This window comes from Homo sapiens, chromosome 6, assembly GCF_000001405.40.
Source record: "Homo sapiens chromosome 6, GRCh38.p14 Primary Assembly".
NCBI classification, from domain to species: Eukaryota; Metazoa; Chordata; class Mammalia; order Primates; family Hominidae; genus Homo; species Homo sapiens.
Genome location: NC_000006.12, coordinates 131,062,995 through 131,089,576, shown reverse-complemented (window position 1 = coordinate 131,089,576; position 26,582 = coordinate 131,062,995). Strand labels below are relative to the sequence as shown.

Below are 26,582 nucleotides of genomic sequence, written 5' to 3'. Positions count from 1 at the left end.
TGCTAGTGGTCTATCAATTTTGTTGATCTTTTTAAAAAACCAGCTCCTGGATTCATTAGTTTTTGAAGGGTTTTTTGTGTCTCTATCTCCTTCAGTTCTGCTCTGATCTTAGTTATTTCTTGCCTTCTGCTAGCTTTTGAATGTGTTTGCTCTTGCTCTTCAAGTTCTTTTAATTGTGATGATAGGGTGTCAATTTTGGATCTTTGCTGCTTTCTCTTGTGGGCATTTAGTGCTATAAATTTCCTGCTACAGAATGCTTTAAATGTGTCCCAGAGATTCTGGTATGTTGTGTCTTTGTTCTCGTTGGTTTCAAAGAACATCTTTATTTCTGCCTTCATTTCGTTACGTACCCAGTAGTCATTCAGGAGCAGGTTGTTCAGTTTCCATGTAGTTGAGTGGTTTTGAGTGAGTTTCTTAATCCTGAGTTCTAGTTTGATTGCACTGTGGTCTGAGAGACAGTTTGTTATAATTTCTATTCTTTTACATTTGCTGAGGAGTGCTTTACTTCCAACTATGTAGTCATTTTTGGGATAAGTGTGATGTGGTGCTGAGAAGAATGTATATTCTGTTGATTTGGGGTAGAGAGTTCTGTAGATGTCTATTAGGTCTGCTTGGTACAGAGCTGAGTTCAATTCCTGGATATCCTTGTTAACGTTCTGTCTCGTTTCTCTGTCTAATGTTGACAGTGGGGTGTTAAAGTCTCCCATTATTATTGTGTGGGAGTCTAAGTCTCTTTGTAGTTCTCTAAGGACTTGCTTTATGAATCTGGGTGCTCCTGTATTGTGTGCATGTATATCTAGGACTGTTAGGTTTTCTTGTTGAATTGATCCCTTTACCATTATGTAATGGCCTTCTTTGTCTCTTCTGATCTTTGTTGGTTTAAAGTCTGTTTTTATCAAAGACTAGGATTGCAACCCCTGCTTTTTTTGTTTTCCATTTGCTTGGTAGATCTTCCTCCATCCTTTTATTTTGAGCCTATGTGTGTCTCTGCATGTGAGATGGGTCTCCTGAATACAGCACACTGATGGGTCTTGACTCTTTATCCAATTTGCCAGTCTGTGTCTTTTAATTGGAGCATTTAGCCCATTTACCTTTAAGGTTAATATTGTTATGTGTGAATTTGATCCTGTCATTATGATGTTAGCTGGTTATTTTGCTCGTTAGTTGATGCAGTTTCTTCCTAGCATCAGTGGTCTTTACAATTTGGCATGCTTTTGCAGTGGCTGGTACCTGTTGTTCCTTTCCATGTTTAGTACTTCCTTCAGGAGCTCTTGTAAGGCAGGCCTGGTGGTGACAAATCTCTCAGCATTTGCTTATCTGTAAAGGATTTTATTTCTCTTTCACTTATGAAGCTTAGTTTGGCTGGATATGAAATTCTGGGTTGAAAATTCTTTTCTTGAAGAATGTTGAATATTGGCCTTGACTCTCTTCTGGCTTGTAGAGTCTCTGCCAAGAGATCCGCTGTTAGTCTGATGGGCTTCCCTTTGTGGGTAACCCAACCTTTCTCTCTGGCTGCCCTTAACATTTTTTCCTTCATTTCAACTTTGGTGAATCTGACAATTATGTGTCTTGGAGTTACTCTTCTCAAGGAGTATCTTTGTGGCATTCTCTGTATTTCCTGAATTTGAATGTTGGCCTGCCTTGCTAGTTGGGGAAGTTCTCCTGGATAATATCCTGAAGAGAGTTTTCCAACTTGGTTCCATTCTCCTCATCACTTTCAGGTACACCAATCAAATGTAGATTTGGTCTTTTCACATAGTCCCATATTTCTTGGAGGCTTTGTTCACTTCTTTCTACTCTTTTTTCTCTAAACTTCTCTTCTTGCTTCATTTCATTCATTTGATCTTCAATCACTGATACCCTTTCTTCCAGTTGATTGAATGGGCTACTGAAGCTTGTGCATGCGTCACGTAGTTCTTGTGCCATGGTTTTCAGCTCCATCAGGTCATTTAAGGTCTTCTCTACACTGTTGATTCTACTTAGGCATTCATCTAATCTTTTTTCAAGGTTTTTAGCTTCTTTGTGATGGGGTTGAACATCCTCCTTTAGCTCAGAGGAGTTTGTTATTACTGGTCATCTGAAGCCTTCTTCTCTCAACTTGTCAAAGTCATTCTCTGTTCAGCTTTGTTCCATTGTTGGTGAGGAGCTGCATTCCTTTGGAGGAGAAGAGGAGCTTGATTTTTAGAATTGTCAGCTTTTCTTCTCTGGTTTCTCCCCATTTTTGTGGTTTTCTCTACCTTTGGTCTTTGATGATGATGACGTACAGATGGGGTTTTGGTGTGGATGTCCTTTCTGTTTGTTAGTTTCCCTCGTAACAGTCAGGACCCTCAGCTGCAGGTCTATTGGAGTTCGCTGAAGGTCCACTCCAGACCCTGTTTGCCTGGGTATCAGCAGTGGAGGCTGCAGAACAGCAAATATTGCAGAACGACAAATGTTGCTGCCTGATCGTTCATCTGGAAGCTTCGTCTCAGAGGGGCACCCGGCTGTATGAGGTGTCAGTCGGCCCCTACCAGGAAGTGCCTACTAGTTAGGCTACTTGAGGGTCAGGGACCCACTTGAGGAGGCAGTCTGTCTGTTCTTAGATCTCAAACTCCATGCTGGGAGAACCACTACTCTATTCAAAGCTGTCAGACAGGGACGTTTAAGTCTGCAGAAGTTTCTGCTGCCTTTTGCTCAGCTATGCCCTGCCCTCAGAAGTGGCATCTACAGAGGCAGGCAGGCCTCCTTTAGCTGTGGTGGGCTCCACCCAGTTTGAGCTTCCCAGCCACTTTGTTTACCTACTCAAGCCTCGGCAATGGCAGGCACCCCTCCCCCAGCCCCGCTGCTGCCTTGCAGTTCGATCTCAGACTGCTGTGCTAGCAGTGAGCAAGGCTCTGTGGGCATGGGACCCTCCGAGCCAGGTGCGGGATATAATCTCCTGGTGTGTCATTTGCTAAGAGTGTTGGAAAAGTGCAGTATTAGGGTAGGAGTGATCCGATTTTCCAGGTGCTGTCTGTCATGACTTCCCTTGGCTAGGAAATGGAATTCCCCGAATCCTTGCTCTTTCCAGGTGAGGCGATGCCTCACCCTGCTTTGGCTCACACTCCATGGGCTGCATCCACTGTCCGGCACCCACAGTCCGGCAAGCCCCAGTGAGATGAACCCGGTACCTCAGTCGGAAATGCAGAAATCACCCATCTTCTGCATCGCTGATGCTGGGAGCTGTAGACTAGAGCTGTTCCTATTCAGCCATCTTGGAACCTCTCTCTGCCTTTAACATTTTTTCTTTCATTTTGACCTTGGAGAATCTGATGATTATGTGTCTTGGGCATGATCTTCTTGTGAAGTATTTTACTGGGGTTTTCTGCATTTCCTGAATTTGAATATTTGCCTTTCTAGCTAAGTTGGAGAAGTTCTCATGGATTATATCCTGAAATATGTTTTCCAAGTTGGTTCCATTTTTCCCCATCTCTTTCAGGGACATCAGTGAGTCATAGATTTGGTCTCTTTACCTAATCACCTATTTCTCAGAGGTTTTTTCATTCCTTCTCATTCTTTTTTCTCTATTCTTGTCTGACTGTTTTATTTCAGAAAGGCAGTCTTCAAGCTCTGAGATTGTTTCCTCTGCTTGGTCTATTCTGCTATTAATACTTGTGATTGCATTAATTCTTGTAGTGTGTTTTTCAGCTCTATCAGGTTGGTTACATTCTTTTCTATACTGGCTATTTTGTCTGTCAGTTTCTGCATTGTTTTATTATGATTCTTAGCTTCCTTGGATTGGGTTTCAACATACTCCTGTAGTTCAGTGATCTTCATTCCTATCCATATTCTGAATTCTATTTCTGTCATTTCAGCCATCTCAGCTCAGTTCAGAATCCTTGCCGGAGAGGTGATTTGGTCATTTGGAGGAAAGAAGTCACTCTGGCTTTTTGAGTTGTAAGGGTTCTTGTGCTGGTTTTTCTCATCTTTGTGGGCTTATGTTACTTTAATCTTTCAAGTTGCTGACCTTTGAACTTTTTTAAAAATTATATTTGATGTCCTTGAGGGTTTGGTTGTGGCATAAGGTGTATTCAACCTCCTGGCTTTGTTTCTGGAAGATTTTAGGGGGCCAGTGCTCAGCTTCCAACTCCTGGACTGCATGCTCTAATTCTGTGGGTGTTGTGCTGGGTCCCAACATTGTTCTCTGACTCCTTGAGGTTAGGAATCCATTGTACTTGAGGGCTGAAGTGCCTCTGAACCACTGGTCACTACACTTCAATGGGTGGTGTCAGCCAAATTGTTTCAGTGTGGTGACAGCGGGATCCATCCCTGTTTGCATGTGCCAGCAGCAGTGGTAGCAGCAGCTGCAGCAGGATGCTAGCAGGTACTGGGATGCTTGCCTCTCTGTGGGCATTCACCGCAGTTGCAGAAGCAATGCAGCTGTGGGAGTGCAGGGGTCCCCTGCTGGTGACTGTGTGCCTGGTCACACTGATGGTGGTGAAATAACACACTTTTTAGATAAATGTAAGAATAATGTTTTAGTTTAACTTTGTTACCTACCTTAGAGATATTTTTTAAAATTAGCAGGAGTCCACTGGGCATGGTGTCATGTGCCTATAATCCCAGCTACTCAGGAGGCTGAGGCAGGAGGATTGCTTGAGACCAGGAGTTTGAGGCCAGCCTGCACAACATAGCAAGACCCCGTCTCAACAACAACAACAACAACAACAACAACAACAACAACAACAGTATCAGGAGTCATTGTTAAGGTATACCTGAGCAAAAAAAGAAAGCTACATATACTGAATTATAGAATCTGCTCTGTTTCCTATCATCACTCCTAAAACTCATGTATACTAAAGTGTGAACAATGATAGGCATGGGTTATAAGAGTAGAAACAGCTCCTTAACGAGAATGAACTGACTGTAGGTGGAAGGGTGTCTTTCTTCTAGCCCAATTTGTCCAGGCTGATTGATGAGCTTTAAAAAGCTGTCCCCAATCTGGGGACAATATGCTCAATAAATAGTTCTTTCTTTTTTTTCTTTCTTGTCCATTTTGCTTCCTTTTGCCTTTCACCATTGGTGTCAATATGGTTCCACTGTATCTGAGGGTTTAAATTATGAGTCACCTGGCTTCATTCACCCCACACTCTGTTCTTTGATATATTTTCAACCCCCTTTCAATGCACCCTCCAGTTACAGCTCAGCCTAAACTGATTCAGTTTGCTCTTTACTTTTGCACGTCCTGGCCTCAGGCCTTGCTCTGATTCTCAGCTATTGTTTTCATCTCTTTTCCACAGTTCAGGGAATCAGTGAACAGTTTCTCAGGCAACACCACTCTTGATCTATTTATATGCCTTAGGTCCTCCCCTTTCAGCTTTTGTTTTTAAATAGCCCCCCACCCAGATCCATCCTGGCCTTCTGCATTTATTTGTAAGTCAGCGGATTAAAACTCAGTATGCATTTTCTCACTAACACTGCACAAAACTGTTTGTACCTCAGGCACATCTATAAAAGCAAATGAGAGCATTTTTTTAGCAAAAGAAACATGGGCTTCTGAATAATATGGCAGACCTGAGTAGTATGAAGATAAAAATGAGCAAATATTATAAATCTTATGTATTGTATGACTCAGACTAGGGCTTAGTAGATAAGAGGTTTTTCCTTCATCATGACCTACTGCCAAATAAAATAGACTCTCATAGCTTTTCCCCTATACTTCAGTCCCTGAAATAAGCACATAATCCTCTTGAGGATGTCTAGTGTTTTAAACTGTTAGTAACAATGGGAAAATATGAAGTATATGAGTGCTTGTAAACTTTTATGGACATCCGCTTAGATCGTGAAGTGAAAAGCCAGTGTAACATATTGATATCAACGTTGAAAGGGAGAAGCAAAATGGAAGAGATGGGAAAGAAGGAAGGAAACATTTATTGAGTACATATTCAGTGGTAGGCACTTTCAGGTATGACCTCACTTAATCATCTTGTGTTATCTCTGTTCTATACAGAGGAGAACGTCGTACTTCCAAGTTGATGAATCTCACCTAAGTTCTGGCAACTGGTAAGTGGTGGAGCTGAAATTTAAAGCCGATTTTGTCTGACTTCTAAGACTGTAATATTTAATATGTTTAATAGACATAAAAATGTGTATAAATAATATCTGACATTTTTATTAAAATAAACATTTTTCTGTCTCTCATAATCTTAATTATCTACCTTCTTTACCCAGGTAAACACTATGCCATTGTTCTCCCAGAGTAATTTTAAATTGCAATCATAATATGGCAGCCAGGTGTGGTGGCTCACCCCTGTTATCCCAGCACTTTGGGAGGCCAAGGCAGGCAGATCACTTGAGGTCAGGAGTTCAAGACCAGCCTGGCCAACATGATGAAATCCCGTCTATACTAAAAATACAAAAATTAGCTGGGTGTGGTGGTGGGCACCTGTAGTCCCAGCTACTCTGGAGGCTGAGGCATAAGAATCGCTTGAACCTTGGAGGAGGAGGTTGCAGTGAGCTGAAATTGCACCACTGTACTCCAGCCTGGGCAACAGAGTGAGACTCTATCTCAAAAAAAAAAATTATAATATGCCTAATTAATATGAGAAATTTGAGTAAAATGGTAATTTAGCTTTGTTTTTCACAGACTTACTTTATAAGGAATTTATAATAAAAATGCCTTTCTAAATTTAACCGTGGTATAATTTCCTCAGTTCTTTAATAGCTTCCAGATGTTTGGATAATTTTGTTTAAAAATCTTTAAAATTATCGAAGTTATTTGCTGTTTAAATAGTGCTTATAATAAAGTAAGTCTTCTCTCCCCTGTTAGGCTTTGTGATGTTGAAAACTTTTTGAAGTCATAACTTCAAAGTAGTTTACGTGGTTATAGTCTCATAATAAACACACGATTATAGACTTTTCTGTGAGATTATAAAGGAAATTAAAAATAAATAATGACAAAGTGACTTCCCATGTTCATATTCTTCCTTTAAATGTTTACCAATTGGCTGATAAACTTGATAGACTGAAAAGTCTTATTGACATCAAAGGATATTTTCTCTAGGACAAAGGGCCAAGTGCAGTACCTTAATTGTCAACTCACAGATCACTGGCAATATAGTTAAACAATTTACTTGGACTTCAGATAAAGTGAATGACAATTTGTGCAGTGGGAAGTAAAAAAATCTAGGTTTGTAGTTTGGAGGCATGGACAGCAAAGTTCCCTTTTGTTAACAGTCAAAAGAGTTATTATTTTTTATTTTTTAGTTTGTATTTTTTTGAGATGGAGTTTTGCTCTTGTTGCCTAGGCTGGAGTGCAATGGTGCGATCTCAGCTCACTGCAACCTCTGCCTCCTGGGTTCAAGCGATTCTCCTGCCTCAGCCTTCCAAGGAGCTGGGATTACAGGTGCCTGCCACCATGCCCGGCTAATTTTTTTTTTTAGTAGAGACAGGGTTTCACCATGTTGGCCAGTCTGGTCTCAAACTCCTGACCTCAGGTCATCCACCCACCTAGGCCTCCCAAATTGCTGAGATTACAGGCGCAAGCCACTGCGCCTGGCCCAAAACAGTTACTGAAAGGTGAGGAGAAATATGGAACCAACTGAAAAAAGGGTGGAGAAATAGGAATGAGACATTTAAAGACGATGTTAATGCCTTAAATCACTACAGTCTGAAGATTAGAGAAGGGATCTGATTTAAACAACAAAAAACAAAAATGGCTTGTGACTGAGGGTGAGAGAAAAACTTTTTAAGTTTGCTTTCTCTGTTTTAAAAAGAGATAATAGCTTAAGGCTGCAGAAAATAACAACAAAAAGGGATAGCTTGAACTTCAGTTAAGTAATAGTATGGCAGAGAGAGTGACACATGGCTGTTGCCATTGTGTGTGTGTGGTAAACTCCCGTGATTACCATACTTTTGGATGGAGCTCTGTTATACAGATGTGTTCTTTTTATTAGTCATCACCTACCTTCCATCTGAATTGGTGCGAGTACAAAAACACACACTTCTTTTATATGACTTACACGTTAGCGCTAAGCCAATAAGAACTGTTGAGAACTAAGACTTAAACCGTCTCATAGTAAACTTGCTTTTCAAGGGTAGCTTTAAAAAAATTAAAAAGAGGCACACATTGTAAAATATTATTGCAGTAGAAGATTCCACCTGCTTAGAGATAATACCATTATATTCCAAACAATTGGTTAGATACTTATTTAGAAGTGGTTTTCAGTGGTTTCATTATATTGTTTCCTGGATCTTTTTCATCCTTTCCTCTAGTAATTCTCTTTACTAAAATTGTTTCATGATCCGATAAAAGGACCATGTCATCAGGCTGGAAAAAATAATTTGTTTACTTTTCTCAGCCTGTTATTTTTTGCCTTGATTTGTCTTCTATCCGTTTTTCCCTTTCTTTTTCTTTTCCTTTTCTTTCTTTTTTTTTTTTTTAGACAGGATTTCACTCATTTCACTCTGTCACCCAGACTGGTGTTCAGTAGTATAATCCTAGCTTACTGCAGCCTTGAACTCCTGGGCTCAAGGATCCTCCTGGCTCAGCCTTCTGAGGAGCTAGGACTACAGGCTCGTGCCATCACACCCAGCTAATTTTTATTATTATTTTGTGCGTGTAGGAATGGTGTCTTGCTTTATTGCCCAGGCTAGTCTTGAACTCTGGGTCTCAAGTGATCCTCTTACCTTGGCCTCTCGAAGTGCTGGGATTACAGACATGAGCCACCATGTCCAGCCCCTTTTTTTCTTGATGGATAAAAAGGAGGATATAATAAGGCAGGCCTTCCTTTGCCTACATATATTCTCCCACAGGCTATGCAACCCATATTCTGTGAGTGAGTTTTTAAAAAATACTTTTTACTTTATAACCTATATTTATTGAGAAATGTATTTCTTCACTTGTGCATATGTACAAAAACATAATTATGTTATTGCTGTAATTCCTCAACTACTCACAAGAACAATCATATCCCATTCACATTGTTATGTTGAAAATTAAAGAATACATACATTGGAGATGGACATTTCTACAACATATTTATTTTAAAGTCCATCATTGATCTCCCTGAATACAAAGTGAAACTGCTGTTGAAAAACATTAAATAGACTGGTCGTGGTGGCTCATGCCTGTAATCCCAGCAATTTCAGACGCCAAGGCAGGCAGATCACTTGAGTTCAGGAATTTGAGACCAGCCTAGGCAACATGGTGAAACCCCATCTCTTCAAAAATAAAAAATAAAAAAATAATAAGCCGGGCATGCGGGACATGCTTGTGGTCCCAGCTACTCAGGTGGCTGAGGTGGGAGGATCACTTGAGCCTGGGAGGCGGAGGTTGCAGTGAGCTATGATCTCACCACTACACTCCAGCCTGGGTGACGGTGAGATATCCTTGCAAAAACAAAAGAAAAGTAAAATAAAAAGAAGCAAATTTGATTTTCAAAATTAAATGCTGGATACAGATATTCGACATTTAATTTTGAAAACCAAGCTTGCTTCTTTTAAAAAAATTTTTCAGAAATGAAAATAAAAGTTGGTAATTACTTAGGTAACAGTAATTAACAGATTGGAGTTAAGGAGATAGGCCAATCCTATCAAACCTAATGTTAAGGTTAGGATCTGCATTGTTTTTAAATGGATTTAATATTTTAATACAATTTGAAATACACACACAGAGTGAGGAGTTTAATTCTTTCTGCCAGGAAGGCCTACGATAAAAGCAGAGAAATGCTGCTACTTAGAGTTGGTATAGACGCATATTTTTTCCTTAGCTTTTTTTTTTTTTTTTTTTGAGATGGAGTTTCACTGTTCTTGCCCAGGCTGGAGTGCAATGGCGCGATCTCGGCTCACCGCAACCTCTGCCTCCTGGGTTCAAGCGATTCTCCTGCCTCAGCCTCCCGAGTAGCTGGGATTACAGGCATGCACCACCATGCCAGGCTAATTTTGTATTTTTAGTAGAGACGGGCTTTCTCCATGTTTGTCAGGCTGGTCTTGAATTCCCGACCTCAGGTAATCTGCCCACCTCAGCCTCCCAAAGTGTGGGATTATAGGCATGAGCCACTGCGCCCAGCCAGCATTTGTTTCATTCAACACTTTTTTTTTTTTTTTTTTTTTTTTTGAGACAGAGTCTCACTCTGTCGCCCAGCCTGGAGTGCAATGGCACGATCTTGGCTAACTGCAACCTCCACCTTCCAGGTTCAAGCGATTCTCCTGCTTCAGCCTCCCAAGTAGCTGGGATTACAGGTGCCCGCCACCACGCCCAGCTAATTTTTGAAGTATAACATTCATACAGAAAAGTGCACAAATTATAAACCTACCACTCAATGAATTTTTACAAACTTAACACACTTGTGTAACCACCACCCGTATCAGAAAATACATCACTGACATCACCCCAAAACCCCCTTTCAGTCATTCCTTCACAAGCATGTGAAGGAATATGTTTTTGTACATATGCACATGTGAAAACATACCATGTTTGGTTAACCATTATCCTTGATTGATATCACCATAGATTATTATTGCCTGCTTTTGTGCTTTATATATATAGACTCGTATTGTGTATATTCTTCTATTGGGCTTTTTTCACTCATCATTACATTTTTGAGGTACATCCATGTTTGATTGTAGCAACAATTTACTCATTTTCATTGCTGTATTATAACTGATTATATGAGCATACCATAATTCTATTATTTGGGCATATTCCGTTATTTGAGTTATTTCAAAAATGCTGTTATGCACATTTGCATATGTGTCTTTCGGTGTGTTTATGTACACGTTTCTTTAGAACATATTCCTTGGAGTAGAATTTTTGGGCCATAAGATATGCATATGCCTGGCTTTAGTATATTCAGCCAGACAGTTTTCCAGATTAGTTTTACCAGTTTGGACTCTCATCATCCTTAACATTTAGTATTCATTCTTTTTATTTTTAGCCATTTTGGTGGCTACATAGTGGTAATACAACATGATTTTAATTTGCATTCCTCTGGTGACTAATGATGTTAACTTTTCTTTTTTATTTTATTTTATTTCCATAGGATTTGGCGGAACAGGTAGTGATTGGTTACACGAGTAAGTTCTTTAGTGGTGATTTGTAAGATTCGGTGCACCCATCACCTGAGCAGTATGCCCTGTACCTAACTTGTGGTATTTTATCCTTTACCCTACTCCCACCCTTTCCCCCAAGTCCCCGAAGTCCATTGTATCATTCCTATGCCTTTGCATCCTCATAACTTAGCTCCCACTTATGAGTGAAAACATACGATGTTTGGTTTTCCATTCCTGAGTTAGATGTTGAGAAACTTTTTATATGTTTGTTAATCCTTTGAGTATCCTGTTTTTATGAAGTTGCCATGTCTTTGGCCCATTTTCCACTGGGTGTTTTGGCTTATTTTTATTGATTTGTAGATGTTCTTTATATATTCTACACAAGGATATTTTGTCAGATATGTGAATTCCAAATATCTACTTCCACCCTGCAACTTGCCTTTTCACTGTCTTAAAGATATCTTCTCCTGAACAATTGTTCTTAATTATTAATGAATGCAACAGATCAGTCTGTTTCTTTATGGGGTGTGTGTGTGTGTACATGCACACATATGTTAATTCTAAGAAATTGCTGCCTATCCCAAGATTATGAAGACATTCTTTCATATTACCTTTTGTAGATAGGAGCTTTAAATACTTCCATTTACATTAGGTCTATTATACAATCTAGCCACAACTGGTTTTTATATGGACAGGGAGGAATGGATCAGGATTCATTTATTTTTTCTTATGGATATCCAATAGACCCAATACCATTTATTTGATAAGAACATTCTTTCTCCGTTTCCCTACAGCAGCACCTTTCTCATAAATTGAGTGACTATACATGTGTGGGTCTGGTTTCCAACACTCTGTTCTGTTCCAGTGGCCTATTTGTCTATCCTTCTGGCAATATCGCATATCTTACAGCTTTACAATAAGTCTTGGTATCAAATAGTGCCAAATACACCCAGATTTTGAACCAAAAGAATATTTTTAACTGAACGAAAGCAAAAATATAATATCAAAATGCATGAAAGGTTAAGAATTTTATAGCCATAAATGCATATATAAGGAAAAAAGAAATACTGAAAAATCAATAATCTAAGTAGCTTTTTTAAGATTTTAGAAGAACAACAAATGAAAGAAATAAGAAGAATAAGGGCAGATACCAATTAGATTAAAACAAAAAAAAACACCAGCCGGGAGCGGTGGCTCTCGCCTGTAATCCCAGCATTTTGGGAGGCCTAGGCGGGTGGATCACCTGAGGTCAGGAGTTTGAGACCAGCCTGACTAACATGGAGAAACCCCATCTCTACTAAAAATAATTAGCCAGGCATGGTGGCGCATACCTGCAATCCCAGCTACTTGGGAGGCTGATGCAGGAGAATCACTTGAACCCAGGAGGCAGAGGTTGTGGTGAGCCGAGATTGCGCCATTGCACTCCAGCCTGGGCAACAAGAGCAAAACTCCATCTCAAACAAACAAAGAAACAAACAAAAAACACTCGGGGGACTGAGCGTGGTGGCTCATGCCTATAATCCCAGAGCTTTGGGAGGCCGAGGTGAGAGGATTGCTTGAAGCCAGGAGTTTGACACCACTCTGGGCAACATAGCAAGACTCTGTCACTATAAAACAATAATAATGTAGCCAGGCGTGGTGGTAAGCACCTGTAGTCCTAGCTACTCAGAAGGCTCAGGTGGCAGGATCAATTGAACCCAGGAGTTTGAGGTTTCAGTGAACTATAACTGCACTATTGCACCCAAACCTGGGCAACAGAGTAACACCCTGTCTCTTAAAAAAAAGGCACTGGGAAAAAAATTAAAGCCAAAAGGTCTTCTTTAAAATGACTAATAAAATTGATTAACCCCCAGCAAGAATGATCAAGAAAAAAAGAGAAAGCATCCAGCCTGGGTCACATAGGGAGACCTCATCTCCACAAAAAATACAAAAAATTAGTTGGGTGTGGTGGCACACACTGTGGCCCCAGCTACTTGGGAGGCTGAGGTGAGAGGATCGCTTGAGCCCAGGAGGCAGAGGTTGCAATGAGCCAAGATTGTACCACTGCATTCCATCCTGGGCAGTAGAGTAAGACTGTCTCAAAAAAACAAAACAAACAACAACAAAAAGAGACAGCACAATGACCTAGGTCAGAAATAAAGAGACAGCACTACAGATCCTTTTGACATTAAAAGGCTAATAAAAACATGAACAATTTATGCCAATACATTTGAAAATTCAGAAGAAATTTTGATTCCTTTAAAAACGCAACTTACCAAAACCTTTTTTGATTTAAAAAGCCCTGTAATTAAAAACCTTTCCACAAAATTTTCTGAGACTATATGTCTTTATTGGTAAATTATTATACACTTAAGAAAAAATAACACCAATCTTATAAGAACCCTTTCAGAAAATAGAAAATGAGTGTAAACTTTGCAACTTAATAAGGCTAACATCACCTTGGTACCAAAATTTAATTAAGGACATTACTAAAGAGGAAATATTACAGTTCAATATCTCTCATGAATGAAAATGCAAAAATTCTAAATACAGTATTAACAAATTGAATATAGCAGTGTGTACAAAGGTAATACATTATGATCAAATTGAATTTATTTTTTATTTATTTATTTTTTGAGATGGAGTCTTGCTCTGTCACCCAGGCTGTAGTGCAGTGGCGCCATCTCAGCTCATTGCAACCTCTGCCTCCCGGGCTTAGGCAATTCTCCCACCTCAGCCTCTTGAGTAGCTGGGACTACAGTCATGTGCTACCACATCTGACTAATTTTTTGTATTTTTTGGTAGAGACAGGGTTTCATCATGTTGCCTAGTCTGGCCTCCAACTCCTGAGCTCAAGTGATCCTCCCACCTCCCAAAGTTCTGGAATTATAGGCGTGATCCACCGTGCCTGGCCTAAACTGAATTTATTATAGGAGCACAAAGTTGACTTAACATTTGAAAATCAATTAATGTAATTCACTTCATAAAGGAAAGAAATCATATATGATCATCTTAATAGATTCAGAGGAAAAAAACTCATTTGATTAAATTTAACAGCTGCTCATTATTTTAAAAAAAAAAGAAAAAGAAGAGAACTCTTCATAATTTAGGACTAGAAATAAACATTCTTAGTTTGATAAAAGGTATTTACCCAAAAAGCTAAAGCTAAACATAGGCATTGTACTTAATAATGAATGAAATATTCTCCTTGAAACTAGGAATGAGATATAGAGCCACATTGTCATTAGTTCTATTCAACATTGTCCCAGCTAGTATAGTAAGTGAAGAATAAGGAATAAAGAAGAAAATGAGAAGAATGAAATAAAACTATTATTTGAAAATAAAATGTGGGTAGTACACATTTTAATTATCTATTGCTGTATAACAAATTACCCAAAAACTTAACAGCTTGAAGCAACAAGTATTTATTTTTTTATTTTTTTGAGATGGAGTTTTACTCTTGTTGCCCAGGCTGGAGTGCAATGGTGTGATCTCGGCTCACCACAACCTCCGCCTCTGAGGTTCAAGCGATTCTCCTGCCTCAGCCTCCCAAGTAACTGGGATTACAGGCTAATTGCCCGGCTAATTGTTTTTTATATTTTTAGTAGAGACGGGGTTTCTCCATGTAGGTCAGGCTGGTCTCGAACTCCTGAGCTCAGGTGATCCACCCACCTAGGCCTCCCAAAGTGTTGGGATTATAGGCGTGAGCCACAGGGCCTGGCCTAACGAATATTTATTATCTCACAGGTTCTGTGGGTCAGGAATTCGGGAGTGGCTTTGCTGATCGATTTTGGTTTAAGGTCTTTCATGACATCAATTAGGGTTGCAGTTATCCAAAGCTTTCCTGGGGCTGCAGGATCCACTTCTAAGATTGCTCACTCACTTGGTTGTTGGCACATTGGCCTCTGCCCTGGGCTGTTTGAGGGTCTTCACCATATGGCAGCTGGCTTCCCAGAACCAATGGTCTAAGAGAGAGCAAGATAGAAACCACAACATCTTTTACAATCTTGCCTTGGAAATCATACTCTGTAATTTTCTGCCATATCCCTTTAGTTAAAAGCAAGTTACCAAGTATGTCTCACACTCAGTGGAAGGAAATTAGTCTCTGCCAGACAAAGGTACGTTAAAAAAATTTGTGGGCAGATTATTTTTATTTTTATTTTTTTTGTAGAAAAGGGGTATGACACAGGGAGGGGAGCACCACACACTGCGGCCTGTTGAGGGGTAGGGGGGCAAGGGGAGAAAGAGCATTAGGACAAATATGTAATGCATGCGGGGCTTAAAACCTAGATGGCAGGTTGGTAGGTGCAGCAAACCACCATGGCACATGTATACCTATGTAACAAACCTGCACGTTCAGCACATGTATCCCAGAACTTAAAATAAAAAAAATAAAAAAAAATAAAAAGAAAGAAATGGGGTCCAGCTATGTTGCCCAGGCTGGTCTCAATTCCTGGGCTCAGGCGACCCTCTCATCTCAGCTTCCCAAAGTGCTGTGATTATAGTTGTGAGCCACTATGCTAGGCCTGTGGGCAGATTTTTAAAACCATCATAGTGTACACTGAAAATTCAAAAGAGTTGTATTAGTCTGTTCTCACACTGCTATAAAGAGATATCTGACACTGGGTAATTTATAAAGGAAAGAGTTTTAATTGACTCACAGTTCCACTTGGCTGGGGAGGCCTGAGGGAACTTACAATCATGGCAGAAGGGGAAGCAAGCATGTTTTACATGGTGGCAGGAGAGAGACAGCATGAGCGTGTGTAGGAGGAAATGTCAAACACCTATAAAACCATCAGATCTTGTGAGAACTGACTCACTATCACAAGAACAGCAGGGGGAAACCACCCCATGATCCAGTCACTTCTAACCAGGTCCCGCACTTGACATGTGGGGATTTTGAGGATTATAATTTAAGATGAGATTTGGGTGGGGACACAAAGCCAAAACCATATCAAGAGTCTACAGAATAACTGTTAGAATTAACAGTAGATTTATTAAGATCACAGGATACAAAGCACACATACTAATATCAATTGCATTTCCATTTAATATATAAATTACTTAAAAAACAAAATGTACAAAATGATACTATTTATAATAACATGAAAAAAATCAAATACCTAGCAACAAGTACAATTAAAGCTAAGAAAGATGTCTATGTGGAAAACTACGAAATATTTAGAGAAATTACAGATACTGAATTGAATTTATGAGATTAAATAACTAGCTATGTTTTCTTCTAAATGCCATCCAATTAAAGATCCTCAGCTACAAAATGAATTGCATCTTTTGCTAAAGGTTAAAGAAACTTGTGTGTGAAAGCAAAAGAGAAATCTCTATCATCTTCAATTTTCTTTCTTTGGCCTACAAGGTTTGTCTCCCAACTGTGCCAAGTAGTCAGCCTCCTGTGGTTTTCTGGATCTCCTGATGTTCTACTAATGTTGTCTCTGTTATATCTGGAAGCAACTGGCTTTCCATTTCCTTGGCCTGTTACTTAGGTTTTATCAAAATCTTCCCTTATTTTTTTTCCTTCACTGTAGTTCTGGCAGATGTTTAAAATAGATAGCAATAAAAATAAATCTAAACTAAAATCAAAACTCAATTTAAAAAATTCAAAAGCATAAAAACAAGCAAGTTTAGAAAATTCAAATTTCCAAATATAATAAAGTCAAAATTGACTAAACACACAGATGTCTACTCTTTTTCTGACCCTACCTAAGAGATCTCCATCTTGAAGTAGCTTTGCATTGGCACAGTAATTATGCCTGGAGTAAATGTAATCATTCAAAGAACCTGTTTCCTTGTTCTCTCTTTGTATGTTCTAGGGTATTCAAGACCCAGATCTTCCCGTGGGTCTAATAATATTGAGCTATTCAAACACAGTACCTGTAGTATTTACAGTTTCTACAGAGGGAATGGGCCCCAGGATATTCCTTGAACAGGAATATTCTTGGTAAATTTGCCACCCTCACCTCTCACCCCCAGTACATGCACAGCCATATTGTATCCCCAAACATCTGAACCACAGCCTTCCAGCCAATCCACAGTCCAGCCAGTGACCTATGAGGTAATTTGCCATAAAATTTGTCATCAAATATGGCAACACATATGAAGAATTTCTTCAAATATTCTTCCACCCAATAGTTATACTTCTGGAAATTTATCCTACATATATACTTGTACATTTTACTTACAGACATTTAGACAAGAATATTAATTTTATTATAAGCATTATTTATAGGAGCAAAAAGTTTTAACTACATATAATTCAATAAGGGACAAGTTAAATGCATTGTAACTTTACAATACAGCTGTTGAAAAAAAGACACAGATTAATATGTTGCTTTCACTCTGTCATGTTTGCATGCATGGTATAAACGCCTCCTCATGGGGAAGTTTGAGTTCTTCACTGCAGGTTTTGTCTTCCCCAACCCTAACCTCAGCTAACTTCTGGATTAATTAATTAATCCATTTATGTCTAGTGTTCCATTATTGGGATGCTAAGCTTGTGGGGGTTATTTATGTCCTACTGCTCAAGGTCATTGCCAAGGTTTGATTTTTCAAAAAATAAATTTGCAACCTTTGGTATAAGTGGGTTAATTTTCTTTGCGGTATAAGATGTTAGATACGACTTCTATCTTTGGGAGCCTACTCTTGCCTGTTAGCCTTTTCCAAAACAGACAAAAACTTATTTTTAAATATTAGAACTAGAAATGAAACCAACTGGGAAAGCTGTTTGTTGAGGTCAGAGCTTTTGGAGATCTGAAGAAATACTGGTGAGGAAGCAAGGCAAAGTGTTTGACCAGGCAGATCAGATCAGTTCAGACTGGTGGTGAATTTGCTTGATAGATCTCATAACCAGCCTATTCTCACATCTTAAACTTTTCTTCTTGGAAAAACCTCATGCATCTGAAATTCTCCCACTGTGTTCCTACTCCAGGTGGTAGAATGTCGAGTGTTATTAACTTGGCAAGAAAGCTGTGATTGACACCACTGAGCTCACATGAAGAGTCAGACCCTACTTATCCCAAAGGCTCACCTCCACCCACTTTTGGAGGATTCTACTTAGTTCACTCTTTTTTTTTGGGTGGGGGGGGGGCAGATATTTTGGAATATTAAATACTTGACATAAGCAACATATCAGGATGAGTATTATTCTTTCACAAGGGATGTATGAAGCTCTTAGAGAAAAACCGAATTTTTTTAATGTAAAAATTTCACCAAACCTCTTTTTATTTAGACATAATTGAGCAATGGGTTAAGAAGTTACAAGCCAAGCACTCATTTTTTTTGAGGGGTGGAGGGAGGGACCGGCTTGCAAGTCTACTTAGCTTATGGCACATTGCGATAAAAATATTTGCTCAATTTACTGAATTTAGACTTTAATGAATTGAGTTATTATACTTTGAAGTTTTGCTTAAGTAAGACTTTATAGGAAAGCTATATTTACAGTAATAAATGAATAAAACATTTAATAAAAGACAATTCTTCTGGAAATCTGTAGTGATTCCTTATTGCATATAGGCAATCAGGAACAAACTCAAGCTCCTCTTTGAAGTCTCAACACCCTTGCTCATGAAGTTCCTCTCAAAAGCCACCAACTCTGTCAAATTTCCATGATACTCTTCATCACAATTTATCATTTCTTTCTTTATTATGCTAATACCTTTAATTCAGATTTTAGCTATTTTCCCTGTTGTGTATATTTCCCTGTTGTTGAGATTGATCTGAAGATTTTCCTCATTGTAGTGTTCCTGTGTTTTGGAATTATAAAATGACTTGGAGTGTGTTTCCTCTTTTCCTGTTTTCTAGGTGAGTTGGTTTAGCACTGCTATATTTTTGGGGTAGGCTAACTGCTGTTAAAAACAACAACAACAACAACAACAAAACAAAACCCCTCAAATCTTAGTGGCTCGACAATATAAGGGTTTATTTCTCCCTCATTTCTTACTCACACTTCAGTATTGGTTATGGGTGGGCATGGGGGAGGACTCTGCTCCATATAGTCATTAAGGGATCCAGGCTTCTTACATTTTAGAGGCTCTTATATCCCCTAGGGCTTCAGAGTCCTCCTCTGGGTCCTCTGCATTTAACAAACAAAGGAAGAGACAGAGAGTGATAGATCATACAAGAGATTTTTTTAATAGGGACTAGGCCTACAGACAGCGTACATCATCTCTAACACACATCCCATTGGCGAGAACCCACTCACATGACCACACTTAAATGCAAAGGATGCTGGGAGATATAGACAGTTTTGTGCTCCAGTGGAAAAGAAAATATGATTTGGTGATTACATAGCCTTGTCTCCAGTGATCTCTTCTTCTGGTAGGGAAACATCTGCTTCCCCTTCTTTCCACACAAAGAACATACTCACCTTTTCCACAAGGAAAACAACCCTAAGTCCCACAATGTCACGTAATCTAGCTCACAATACATGATCTCTAGGTCTAGATGTGCAGCCTCTCCTTCAGTTTCAGATACAGCTTCTCATGATCTAGCAAGCTATCACCTAAAAAGCCAAGTGGTCTGTAGGCCGAACATGCAGTGCTATAGCAGCAGAGCAAGGACAATTTGTTATTTCTTGTTTCTTGACTCTGTTTGGTAGATCTCATCTATAAACTACCTAACTCTGGTGCTTTCTTTTTGGGAAGTTTTAAACTTCTGATTCAATTTCAATAATGTTCACAGAAAAGTTTAGCTTTTCTATTTCTTCTTTAGTTGAATTTAGCAATTTATAATTTTTCTAAGAATTTTTCCCTTTCCCTAAGCTTTCACATTTGTCTTAAAGTTAATAGTATTTTTGGGTTATCTTTTAAATCGCTGCTTCTTCTTTTTCCCTTTTGGTATTCCTACTATTGCTCATTTGTGCCATCTCACTTTTCTAGTTTTTCTACTTTTTTTCTAGATTGGTCTTGCCAGAGATTATTAATTTTATAAGTGTTTTCATAGAACCAAATTTTGACTGTGATGATCCTCTCTTCCCAATGTTTTCTAGATCACTAATTTCTTCTTATATTTATTACTTTCTTAGAGAATATTCTTTTCAAACTAATTTTGTAAGTTGGATGATTATCTTATTAATTTTCAGCCTTCCTTCTTTTTACTACATACATCAAAGGCTATGATTTTTTTTGAAGCACTGTTTTAGCTGAATTCCACAATCATTCTAATCATGTCATTACGTTGTTCTGAGCATTTTAATAATTTTTATTATGTTTTTTCTTCTCTGCCCATGAAATATTAGGAAGTTCCCTCCTCCTGAAAATAAATGGAGTTTTAAAAGTTATTTAGTTATTATTCATTCATTACCTAATTGCAATGAAGTCAGTGTGCGGTATGCTAGACTATATCAGTTGTATGAAATTTGAGGCTTCGGTTTAAACCTGAAATTTGAAAGTTGTAAACTGGCTGAGCACGGTTGCTTATGCTTGTAATCTAGCACTTTGGGAAGCCAGGTGGTATAGGATTACTTGAGGCCAGGAGTTTAAGACCAGCCTGGGCAACCGAGCAAGACCCAGTCTCTATAAAATATTTAAAAAAGAAAAAATTAGCTTTGTATGGTGGCACATACCTGTAGTCCCAGCTACTTGGGAGGCTGAAGTGGGAGAATCACCTGAGCCCAGAAGAACTGTGGGGACTGTTGGGTGATCACACAACTGCACTCTAGCCTGGGTGATAGAGTGAGACTCTGTTTCAAATTTAAAAAAAGAAAAGAAGGAAGGTAGTTAGTTGAAACTCATTTTATAGCCTACTATGTAATTTTCATAAAGAGTCCTTGTATGCTTGAGAAGAATGCATATTCTGAGTTGCTGAGTGAAATTTTCTACGTATGTTCATTATTTCAATATTGTTAATTATATTTTAAAAATCTTATGTATTCCTATTGACTTCTGTCTCCTGCCTCAGCCTCCCGAGGAGCTGAGACTATAGGCTGATGCCACCGCACCCAGCTAATTTTTGTATTTTTAGTAGAGACAGGGTTTCACTATGTTGGCCAGGCTGATCTCGAACTCCTGATCTCAAGTGATCCGCCTGCCTCGGCCTCCCAAAGTGTTGGGTTTACAGGCATGAGCCACTGTGCCCTGCCGGATGAATATCAAAAACACATTTCTTCTTCCGGGCTGAGTCAAGCCTTGAGAAGCTAAGTGTGGATTAAACATCGCTTCACTGTTCACCTTGACTGGGTGCTCTTGCACAAGGCACAGCCTTATCAATGTGTGCAGAGCCTGTGCCTGCTTTAGCATCTGCTTATCTTTTGGGATTTGCTCTTCCTCACAGATTCTAGCCTCTCACAATTACTTTACCTTTTCTACCAGGCTCAGCCATGTATTTTTTAAATGCTTTAAAAAATTACATTCATCATTTTTAGGTGTTATGCCCTGGGAATTTTCCTCCGAATACCGGATCTATCAAATTGTAGGAAATTGAAGGTACCTCACTCATTTTCAATTAGGTTCACTCTTTCAACAAATGTTTACTGAAGAAGCCCTTTATGAGTTGCAGTGCTTGGAACTAAAATACAATGGTACAGAAAGCGAAGTCCCTGCCTTTGCAAAACCTATGGTTGAGTCGTCCTTTTTCATTTTCTGGGTGTGTTCTTCTTCTCAGCTATTGCACCCTCCTGGAAGGTTTTCCTCTGGAGAGAGTGGGATTATAAGCAGTAAGAGCATACATATAACCTTAAAACCCCTATCCTTCTAAGTGTTTTCTAATAAGTAGAACACATTTGTGTGCCTTGGGAAACCACACAAAACTAAACTGAAGAATGGTACTTTGCTAATACCAACCTTCCGCCACACATCTGTTTTGAATAAACGAAGGACCACTCTCTAAGATGGTCCATTTTCCAAAGGGAGGAATTTGTTTGCTTAGAAACGGCAACATTCCAGCTCCAATCCCACTGTCGCCACTATTTCCGGGGGCTATTTTACAAACTAGCCAATCAAGTCTGGGCTATGTAAATATTTCAAGGATATAATCCAGGGGATTACTCTTCTAATTTTCCCCCTGGTACTGTAATTCAACAGCCTCTTCTGCTGCTCTGATTGTCGCTGTTGATGGATTTTACCACCATTTGCTGAGACCACTTACAAATTATGCTCCTCAGGCAAGGCTCCCCAGCGTGGGCCCAAGGAATTTGGCTCGCCTTGTCACACCACATCAGAAGTTGTCTATGGTATTGTGGGGGTAATTCTGTCTGTCCAGCAAAGTCCAATGACACTGCTTAAAGGTCATTTTACCTTCCTCATCCCCACATCTAATTAAGTGGGCAGTCTGCTGACTGCAGGCATGTAGTGGAGTGGGGTGGTCACATGCCAGTCCACTTTTATTAAAGTTTGGTGTTCTGTCTCAATCATTTTCCATAGCAGGACTTCTGCGTATTCCCTGCAAAATAGGAATCTAAAGAGCCCTTTAGGCTCTTTTCAGAGTCTCCTCTTTGCTTTGACTATGTCTATGAATGAGCCTGGAGCCTTCTCTTTTGATGTCTCTTTGTTTTTTTGTTTTTTGTTTTTTGTTTTTTTTTGAGCGGGAGTCTGGCTCTGACGCCCAGGCTGGGGTGCAGTGGCGCCATCTTGTCTCACTGCAACCTCTGCCTCCTGGGTTGAAGCCATTCTCCTGCCTCAGCCTCCCGAGTAGCTGGAATTACAGGTGTGTGCCACCACGCGCTAAAATAATATACATATGTGCTTTCCAAATGTAGCTTTTCTGGGACTTTTATTGGATCTGTACCATTTCTGTTTTCAGCTCTAGGGAGCAATTGATTATGAGATGTCATGAGGAGCAACTCTGAAGACTCTGTTCCAGCTTAAGGGAATCAGCCAGTCCATCCCTGTTTCTCTGTCATTGAGCCTAATTAAGTAGGGTGTGTGTGTGTGTGTGTGTGTGTGTGTGTGTGTGGCAAAACTCCAACTACAATTGAGAGAATACCTCAGTTTGGCAGGCTTGAGATGCATATACCTGTTATTAGCCATAGTTGGGAGTGGCTTTTCCAAAGATGACATCACTTGGTGTGTCTTAGATGGAAAGGAGGTCCTGTGATGCTTTTGATAAAAAATCTGTATAAAGAGTTGCTTGAGGGCCAACTTGAATACCAGACTAGAAAAACATGGTGCCTGTAGTGAATTGCTTACAAGATGTCTGTCAACAATTTTCCCCCTCACTGTACAGACATTCCACGCCTCCTACCAAGAAGCAAAGTCTATGACCCCTCTCCTTGAATTGCGGCTGGCCCTCTGATTTGCTTTGACCAACAGAATGGAGCATAAGTGATGCTGTGTGACTTCTGGGCAAAGCCCTTGCAGGCCTTGCAGCATTTGTTTTTGTTCTCTTGGAAGCTGGGTGTCATGTAAAGAAGTCTGGGTTATCCTACTAGATAGGCCACATAGAGGATGGAGGGAGGGAGCGCGTGCAGAAAACAAAGGGAGACAGAGGGAGAGAGAGAGAAACAGAGAGAGAGGGAGAGAGAGAAAGAGTCTGGAGGATGAGAGTCCATGTGGAGGAGAAATTAGGTGCCCCAGTTGACAGGCAGCACCAACTGCCAGACATGTGAGTGAAGCCATCTTAGATCCTTTATCCACAGTTGAGCCTCCCAGCTGAGCATTGCTTGAATTCCTGCCCCAAAGAACCACAAGCAATAAAATGGTTGTTTTAAGTCACTAAAGCAGGGTCTTGTAGTCCAGTTGAAACTGAGCCAAAGTTGGCCAGGTGACAGAGTGACTCCTGCAGTCATTTGTGTGATATGTTTGTTGCTGTGGCAGTGGAACTGGGATTGCATGAATTCACGATGAAGCTTGAGAATGCCTTAGAAATAGTAGGAGAGGGCATTTTCAGGTCTTGCTGCCTGTGGACCACGTAAAGGAAGGGCAGGTCCTCAACCCAGAGCCACTCCAACCTGGTTTGGGCTTGGCACACAGAAGGCACAAAGATAAAATGATGACTCATGGATATAGTGAGATCAAGCTCTTCCAGAGGCCACGCCTATGGGGGTGAGTTGGTAAGTAAGGGCACTAAGGAGGTCCTGGGTACATTTCTAGTCCATACTTCCAGACTAACTTTGCTTGCACATAGTGCCCAGGATTGAGGCTATTATGGTAAATTTGGATGTGGTAGCTCTCAGGACTAGTACCTATATTCTTCTCTTGTTCTCTGTGTCAGTCCTTTGCCTGTTACTACAGTGTGTCTAGCAGGAAGACCCAATCTTGTTCTACCTAGAGTGTTTTCCTGGGGATTAACATTCTGCCCTTGAACTGCAGCCTGGTAGTCCTGACAGTGCTTCCGCCTGCCTGAGTCTTTGGATGTCACCTATTCCAGGACTTTGTCCTTCTTTCTGTTCAAACCCCTCTTCTCTTCTTGTTAGACTTCCCTGGTTGTCTGGACTACCACCTGTTGTTTGCTAAATCTCTATGATGCCACTTCCATCAGTTTTCTTCACTTCCTTATAGCTTCTGGGACTTGATTTTTCTGCCCTCAGTTCCTGCTAGGTCCTCACTGAATCTGTTCCATTCCATTAAAATGCCAGGGCTATGTAAGGCTGTGTCCAAAAACAGAGTTCAATTCTTCTTTCACACAATAGCCTTTATACATTTGACAACCTTTTTATCACCTTTAATCATCTCTTTAGGCTAAATCTTGCTGGTTCCCACATTTTCAAGGTCACCCATTTATGGTTATAATTTAGCTTATCAATATTTTCTTTTGGAGGGAAAAATTTCTTCTTAAGAGGTGGCATATAGGAGTGATTCATGTACTTCAACGCAGAGTATAGTAAGCATATCCTTTCTTATGAGAAGGGCATTATATTTTATTAACTATGCCTATATTTATGTTATTTTGCACTAGCATTTTAAAGGGGGCTCCATCAGGGTGGTTCAATGTTTTATGGGCCCAAAAGCTTATATGACTTTAGGGACTCTTTAAAAAACACAAAATGAAATACAAAATTATAAAGTTAGTTTCAAGGCTTGTGAAAATGAGAGATCCCGAAGTTTGTTTCATTAGTTTCGTTGTAAATCTGCTGCATATTTCTTATTATGAGAAAATAATAGTATTTTCTCATTAAATTCCCAGGTCTCCTTTACCAGAATTGCTGTCTAATCAGATTTCTGCTCTGTTTTAGCACACCTTATAAAATTTAACTTGTATACTTAGCATATGGGATTGTGATTAAATTAATACATGTAAGGGACTTAGAACAATGCCTAGCACATAAAGCACACAATCAACCTTAACTATTATTATTTGTATTATTTACTAGAAGGACCTTGGCAAATAATTTATCTTCCCAAATCTTTTTGATGTAATGGAGCTCAAACGTGCCTGCCTTTTTCATAGGGTGATTGTGAGGATCAAATGATGATAAAATATGTGAATGTATTTTGTTAACTGGAAGGTATTGTTACTGAGGTTTCATTTGACATTGTTAATTTTGGAAAAGGTTCTGTTTAGGAAAGAAAGGGAGACGACTTTGGCTGTGGTGGAATCACTAAAGACCTCAATAAAAGTGGGAGGAGTAAAAGGGATAAGAGGTGCGTGTGAGGCAGATGCTGGAGGCAGTGAGCTGGACACGTTGTTTGACACCAGCTTGACGTGCAAACCTTCAAAAGATGAAATATATTGAATCTGAAACATATTGACCTCATTGTACAAAAGAAAAGAACCAGAAGGGTAGCGTGTGTGTGCTTGTGGCTTTCCACAATTTAGCCCCAAACTAGGTTTTTTCCAGACTCTTCTTCACCCGTGGTCATGCTCTGCAATCCAGATTCCCAGGCCTCTGCCCAGAGAAATCCTACTTACTCTGGGGAGGCCTTTCCTCCACGGGGTTTCCCCAACCCCTCCTGTCCCTCCCACAGGAAGAATAAATGGTTCCTTTTCAATGCCCTTCCTGTGAAAGCACTTTTTCCACTCTAGACTGAGGGAGACCCAGTTTTCCTTATTCTGCATCTCCAGGCTCTGCTCCAGTGTTTACCTCTAGGAAGGCGCTCAGTGAAGGTTTAGTCAGCAAATGCACTTTGAATAAATAACTTTTAAAAGTTGAGAGGACATTTAAGGCCGGGAATCGCAGTTGAGAACGCCTTGCCCAGGCGCATTAGCTGTCATCCGGGCTGCCCTGAGGGCGAAAGACGTCCTCCACCCCCGGGTCTCCGCGGCCGCGCTTGCCGAATCCCGCGGGAAAGGTCCCCCGCCCGCGCAGGGGCGGGGCCTGGGCGTCGGGGGCGGGACCGCCCGCGGGGGTTTCCGCGCCGGGGGCTCGTCCGGCGGGGTCGCGGGAGGGGCTTCCGCCGCGAGGGGGCGGGGCCGGCCCTCAGAGTCCTCTGACGGCCCCAGTCAGGGAATTTCAATTTGAAACCTAGCGGAGGGAGGAGGCAGGCGCGGCTGCCGGCGGCTGGGACTGAAGAGGGACGGGTCCCGCGGCGAGCGAGCTCCTGAGGTACGGCGTCGGGGTAAGGAGGCGTGCGGGGCTGCACGGGCCGGGCGACTGGTCAGTGTGGGGTTGCAGGGGCGGCTCAGATTTTTCCTCTGGCTGCAGCTGGGAAGCTGATTCCGGGCAGGAAGCGGTGGCGGGACGGTCCCACCGGGATGGGGGGCGG

At 40.4% G+C, this 26,582-nt stretch overlaps 1 protein-coding gene and 2 long non-coding RNA genes across 19 annotated transcripts in view, besides 1 other annotated feature; 2 read left to right on the top strand and 1 right to left on the bottom strand.

Annotated features, from left to right (window-relative positions):
* Positions 1-4,585, top strand: part of LOC102723445 (uncharacterized) — a 45,370-nt gene extending 40,785 nt beyond the window's left edge. Inside the window, exon 4 of one of the 2 annotated variants that reach the window (XR_428022.3) lies at positions 4,546-4,585. This is a non-coding gene — a long non-coding RNA (uncharacterized LOC102723445). Of the gene's footprint in view, positions 1-4,542 lie in introns of both variants that reach the window. The other variant, XR_942994.2, reaches the window with a different exon arrangement.
* A 9,813-nt stretch (positions 4,586-14,398) lies between these two features.
* LOC105378004 (uncharacterized) lies at positions 14,399-26,174 on the bottom strand. Its single transcript, XR_942993.3, has 3 exons — positions 25,961-26,174; positions 20,567-20,683; positions 14,399-14,954 (listed from the first exon to the last, which is right to left on the bottom strand). It is a non-coding gene; the product is annotated as an uncharacterized LOC105378004 (long non-coding RNA).
* Positions 26,096-26,435: a silencer, noted in NCBI's record as "silent region_17543". NCBI's record gives its function as "represses an Ori minimal core promoter by ATAC-STARR-seq in GM12878 lymphoblastoid cells {active_cell/tissue: GM12878}" and the evidence as "EXISTENCE:reporter gene assay evidence [ECO:0000049][PMID:35858748]".
* EPB41L2 (erythrocyte membrane protein band 4.1 like 2) overlaps positions 26,332-26,582 on the top strand; it is a 223,899-nt gene continuing 223,648 nt past the window's right edge. For 10 of the 16 annotated variants that reach the window (NR_146620.2, NM_001135554.2, NM_001350314.2 and 7 more), the window contains exon 1: positions 26,332-26,422. The gene's annotated coding sequence lies outside the window, so the exon portion shown is untranslated. Of the gene's footprint in view, positions 26,436-26,582 lie in introns of all 16 variants that reach the window. The other 6 variants (NM_001350320.2, NM_001135555.4, NM_001350315.2 and 3 more) reach the window with 1 other exon arrangement.